This window comes from Homo sapiens, chromosome 10, assembly GCF_000001405.40.
Source record: "Homo sapiens chromosome 10, GRCh38.p14 Primary Assembly".
NCBI lineage: Eukaryota > Metazoa > Chordata > Mammalia > Primates > Hominidae > Homo > Homo sapiens.
The window spans coordinates 117,403,141-117,409,305 of record NC_000010.11 but is presented as its reverse complement, the minus strand read 5'-3'; the positions used below and the strand labels follow the sequence as shown (position 1 = coordinate 117,409,305).

Sequence of the window (6,165 nt, the reverse complement as noted above, 5' to 3'; positions counted from 1 at the left end):
AAAGAAGGTTAGATTCTCCCTGACCTGTCAAGTTGGTGGCTGAATGGAACTTAGCTGGCTGGTTTTCTGCCCTTCAAAATTATCTTTGGCCCTCAAGTAGGAACTTCCAAGGGTATCTGACAGCAACAGATACCCTTGGACAAAGGCCTCCAGACACAAGAGCTCATCCCTTAGCAAGAGTTGATTGGACCAAGGTTGAGTGAGTTTCTCTCCCTGGAATTTGGAATCAGGCCACAGAGCCATATGCCTTTCTCTTAGGCACTTGAAATGGGATGTGAAGACAGGTCAGGTTCAAGGTGCCTGGACTGGCCCCATGAGTGAGGAACCAAAGAGAGCCAGCCTGCAGGCATAGAGAGAGAGAAATGACAAACGAGGAATGATCAGGTGTCATGACAGCCACCCCATTCCCAACTGTCTAGGTTCTGAGCCTTGTCCATTATGAGGCCAGCCTGAACTTCCTGTGCTTGGAATTCATAATATTCCCTCGAGTCCTCCTAGAAAGTGCCCTTCCTCCACCTTTTTGGTTCTCAAAGTTAGTTTAAGTGTGTTTCTGTTCCTTGTAAATTAGCTAACCACGGCTGTTGTAACAAACTGCCACAAACTGGGTGGCTTAGAACAACAGAAACTTATTATCTCACAGTTCTGGAGGCCGGAAGCCTGAAATCAAGGCATCAGAAGGCCATGCTCCCTCCTAAGCCTCTGTGGGAAGATTATTCTTTGCTTCCTCCAGCTTCTGGTGGCTCCAGATATTCCTTGGCTAGTGGCTGCACAACTCCAGTCCTGCCTCCATCTTCACATGACCGTCTCCTCTTGTCCCTGTGTCTTCTCCTCTCCTCTCTCATCACTTGTCATCTATTTAATCCAGGATGATCTAGATCCTTAACTATATCTGCAAAGACCCTTTTTCCAAATAATGTCACATTTATAGGGACCAGAAGTTAGGAGTTGGACATATCTTTCTGGAGGCCACCATTTAACTCACTATACCTTACAGCCCACTGGGCCCTAAGATGAGTTTACCGAATATTCCTGAGCAGCCTTGCAAAGTGTGAGTGATCAGCTGATGCACAGCCCACAATACGAACTGTTTATAGATTCTGAAGGATGATATGTGAATAAGGCAATTGGAGTTTTTTTTAATGGGAAAAGTGTTTTGTGGCATTTTGTTTTTGAATATTCTGGGATAGAGTGAAGCCTTGGTCTATCACATCTGAAGTCACACCTTCTCCAGTCTCTTTTGGATTGATGAGAATAATTATAATGTAATGGCCACTGTGATGTACTGCTAGGTGCCAGCTGCTGCACTTGGCTTTTTTTTGTTTGTTTGTTTTGAGTCAGAGTCTTGCTCTGTTGCCCAGGCTGCAGTGCAGTGGCAGGATCTCAGCTCACTGCAACTTCTGCCTCCAGGATTCAAGAGATTCTCCTGCCTCAGTCCCCTAAGTAGCTGGGACTACACGCATGCACCACCATGCTCAGCTAATTTTTGTATTTTTAGTGGAGATGTGGTGTCACCATGTTGGCCAGGCTGGTCTCGAACTCCTGACCTCAGGTGATCTGCCCACCTTGGCCTCCCAAAGTGCCGGGATTACAGATGTGAGCCACCACGCCCGGCCTGTACTAAGCTCTTTATATGGCATGTCACTTCGAATCTTTACCATGATCTTTTGATGGTGGGATTATTATCCCCAGGAGTCACACCCAAGTAGGTCAGTGCTTTAAGCCACCAGGATGGCCTTTTTCAAGATCTGGCATTTTGCGGGCTATGGATATTAAAAGAAGATCTAGTGCGGGCAGCACCGGCCAAGTGCCAGTCAATACATTTGGTGCACTATGTTTGTTATCTCACGTGATCTTTACAGCTCCTCCTTGAGGGAGACAGTGCAGAAATTAGAGGAAGGCCGATCCCACTAACCAAGGCTTCTCATGGATATAACCTGCTGAAGTCAGTGAGACAAAGTCTCAGATATTCCAGCTCCTGCAGGCCCAGGGGGATCAGCCCCTACAGATCTACTCCCAATAACTTAAAGAAACATGACACATGTGGACAACAGAATGGCAATTGGAAACTTAAGTTGACAAAGCACCCCTTGAATTGGAATGCTCTTCTTACTTGAGAAGCTGCCCATCTCACCTCCCAAGCTGTGAGTCTGGAAGGGAAGTGAAGTAAAGCAGCCCCCTAGAGAGAAAGCTTAAAGCTTCCCTAGGCAAGTTTTTCACCTTAGTAATTTTCCACCCCAACCCCAGAGAGGATTTCCTTTCAAAAGCCTCACACTGTACTCATAATTTCCCTCTTCCTACTAATTGCCAATAGTACTGCTTCCCCTCCTCCTCTCTCCCTAAGAGTTGAGGACACGGAGTTCAGATCAAAATTACAACCTTCCTTCCCCCTCCATTCCTCCTCATGTAGCTCCATCCACACAGTCATCCAAGTCAGCCACCTGGACGTCTTCCTCAGCTCCCCTCCGCCCTCTGCCCCAGAGCCATCGGGCATCAAGTCCTGCCTACCTATCCGCCTCTCAGTGACTTCCCCTCTCCCTAGCCCTCATTGCCCTGGATTAGGTTCCCAGCATCTCTCTCCTGGACTTGGTCAGGTCTCCCTGCCTCCATCATTCTTTGTTTTCGTTTGTTTTTGTTTGTTTGTTTGTTTTGTTTTGTTTTGTTTTGTTTGAGACGGAGTCTTACTCTGTCGCCCAGGCTGGAGTGCAGTGGCACAATCTCGACTCACTGCAAGCTCTGCCTCCCAGGTTCACGCTATTCTCCTTCCTCAGCCTCCCCAGTAGCTGGGACTACAGGCGCCCGCCACCACGCCCAGCTAATTTTTTGTATTTTTAGTAGAGATGGGGTTTCGCCATGTTAGCCAGGATGGTCTGGATCTCCTGACCTCGTGATCTGTCCGCCTCGGCCTCCCAAAGTGCTGGGATTACAGGCGTGAGACACCGCGTCTGGCCTGTTTTCATTTTTTTTTTTTTTTTTTTTTTTTTGAGATGGAGTCTCACTCTGTTGCCCAGGCTGGAGTGCAGTGGCACAATCTCGGCTAGCTGCAACCTCTGCCTCCTGGGTTCAACCATTTCTCATGCCTTGGCCACCTGAGTGGCTGGGATTACAAGTGCACACCACCACGCCTGGCTAATTTTTGTATTTTTAGTAGAGACAAGGTTTCACCATGTTGGCCAGGCTGATCTTGAACTCCTGGTCTCAAGTGATCCACCTGCCTCAACCTTCCAAAGTGCTGGGATTACAGGTGTAAGCCACCAAACCCAGCCCTCCATCAGTTCTTAATTTGATCTTGTTGTTTCTTTGCTTTTGTTTGCATCATTTTCTTTTACCTCCACACGGGGTCAGAGACCTGGCAGGAAGCCTCACGCAGCTTCTTTTACCGGCAAATGGCAAAAATCTCCATTCTGGCATTGCATAAGCCTCCAGCAGTGGTTTTCAAAATGTGTCCAGAGGAACCCCAGCTTCATGGTCCCTGTTGGAATTTTTTTTTTTTTTTTTTTTTTTTTTTTGGTGGAGTCTCACTCTGTTGCACAGGCTGGAGTGCAGTGGCATGATCTTGGCTCAACTGCAACCTCCACCTCCTGGGTTCAGGCGATTCTCTTGCCTCAGCCTCTGGAGTAGCTGGGATTACAGGCATACACCACCACACCGAGCTAATTTTTGTAGTTTTAATAGAGATGGGGCTTCACCCTGTTGGCCAGACTGGCCTTCATCTCCCAACCTCAAGTGACCCACATGCCTCGGCCTCTCAAAGTGCTGGAATTACAGGCGTGAACCACCATGCCCAGTCCCTGTTGGAATTTTGATTCCAGAAAAGAAATTCTGCCTGAGTTTTGAACAAATTGAGGACAAAGTATTTAGACAAATGGAAATAAAAATATCATCTTTATTACTGAAAAAGCTATATTAGAGGATGTGGCTTAGCTTTGGCCAAATAGCATGGTGACAATTCCCTGAATTAAACCACAGATGCCCTACACAGCACAAACATTCCTCCTTCTTGGAAGTGACTGCTTTGAGAGGCGGGTTCCCAGGTGTGGATAGAGAAATACGAATTAACATGCACACCCAGGGTTTAGACTTTTGTAAAAGTTGTCAGGCAGCATTTCTCAAAGCTTGCACCTTGGAACACTAACCTTAAGAAGAGCTGATCTGGGAAGAAAATGCTACATGGCCAAATGCCTTTAGAGAAAACCATACAACATGTTCTCCCTCGAGAATCACAATGCACATAAGGAAATTAGTCTCCCTGGTCTGCAATGATGAAATCAGACTGACCTTGCTTATTGAACGTTGACCCTTGTTTCCCAACATTATCTGACTAAAAGTACTTTGGGCCGGGCACGGTGGCTCACGCCTGTAATCCCAGCACTTTGGGAGTTTGAAGCGGGCGGATCACCTGAGGTTGGGAGTTCACAACAAGCCTGACCAACATGGAGAAACCCCGTCTGTACTAAAAATATAAAATTAGCCAGGCATGGTGTTGCATGCCTATAATCCCAGCTACTCAGGAGGCTGAGGCAGGAGAATCACTTGAACTCGGGAGGCAGAGGTTGCAGTGAGCTGAGATTGCACCATTGCACTCCAGCCTGGGCAACAAGAGCAAAACTCCATCTAAAAAAAAAAAAAGTACTTTGGTGAGTCTTTTTATGTTTCTATGGGAAATAAATGACATCAGAGTAAGGCTGCTGGCCTCTCTCTGTCCCCAGGGCAAGAGAAAGAAGAATGACTTACATGATTGTGGAATGGAGTAGGGGGCTCAGGCCCTTCCTCCCCATCTCTTCAATGAGGGTTTTCCTAAGCAGGTCTTTGGTTTTCACTTTTTGCTGTTTCTCACAGGCTGTAGCTCTAAATTCTCTTCTGAAATTTTTCTGTTTTGACCCCGCATCGATTTTGACAGCAGAATGAGCAGTTAGGGATGCTTTTTTTTTTTTGAGATGGAGTCTCGCTCTGTCACCCAGGCTGGAGTGCAGTGGCGCGATCTTGGCTCACTGCAAGCTCCACCTCCCGGGTTCACACCATTCTCCTGTCTCAGCCTTCCGAGTAGCTGGAACTACAGGCGCCAGCCACCATGCCCGGCTAACTTTTTTTGTAGTTTTAGTAGAGATGGGGTTTCGCCATGTTAGCCAGGATGGTCTGGATCTCCTGACCTCATGATCCACCCGCTTCAGCCTCCCAAAGTGCTGGGATTACAGGCATGAGCCACCATGCCCAGCCCAGTTAGGGATGCTTTAATACAAAAAGTTTATGACTAAAGTAGGACTGGGTGTGGTGACTCATGCCTGTAATCCCAGCACTTTGGGAGGCTGAGGCAGGCAGATCACCTGAGGTCAGGAGCTCGAGGCCAGCCTGGGCAACATGGTGAAACCCTGCCTCTACTAAAAATACAAAAATTAGCCAGGCATGGTGGCAGGTGCCTGTAATCCCAGCTACTCAGGAGGCTGAGGCAGGGGAATCACTTGAACCTGGAAGGCAGAGGTTGCAGAGAGTAGAGATGGTGCCACTTCACTCCAGCCTGAGCAACAGAGAAAGACTCTGTCTCAAAAAAAAAAAAAAAAAAAAAAAGTTTATATCTAAAGTAGAGGGGAAGAGAATTCTTGATTTCACAAACGAAATGCTTTGCATATGACCTCTGGACTCTGAAACAAGGGTGCGGAGGCAGGGGAGGGCACGCAAGGCCTTCTGCAGTGGCTTTGTGGTTAAAAGTGATATGAAGGGTCCTTTGCAAAATAGAGATGTGTAAAGTAGTTTCAAGTAGATGATTCCTAATCTTCATATTACATTGGAAATATATGTCAGTTTTGTTCATTAGAATCAGTGAATTGCATATTAAATGTTATAGTGAGAAATCATCCTCGGTCAAAAAGACAGTCTTGCTCCTCCTCTTAAGAAAGGGATCCACCCCCCAACCCCACCCCCATAATCTTTTGAGGCAATTGAAGAACATGGAAGAAAAAAGTTCTGTCCAGCTAAGCAATTTTGTGGAAAGAACAAAACACTCTTCAGTCTAGGGATGCTCTTAATTATGCTCATGCTGATGGAGATGACTATAAAAAGCCATGTAGTCCAAAATGGGCAGGATCGATGTTCTTAGGTCAGCTCTTGGTCTGTCTTCAGTCCAGAGATATTTTGGTCTGAGCCAGGAAGTGAGACAGTAAGGGTAAAAAC

The 6,165-nt window shown here is 46.8% G+C and overlaps 1 annotated feature.

Annotated features, from left to right (window-relative positions):
* Positions 1-359: a transcriptional cis regulatory region, noted in NCBI's record as "candidate enhancer chr10.4281 targeted for multiplex CRISPR interference". NCBI's record gives its function as "positively regulates PDZD8 gene expression with high confidence in K562 cells {active_cell/tissue: K562}" and the evidence as "EXISTENCE:mutant phenotype evidence [ECO:0000015][PMID:30612741]".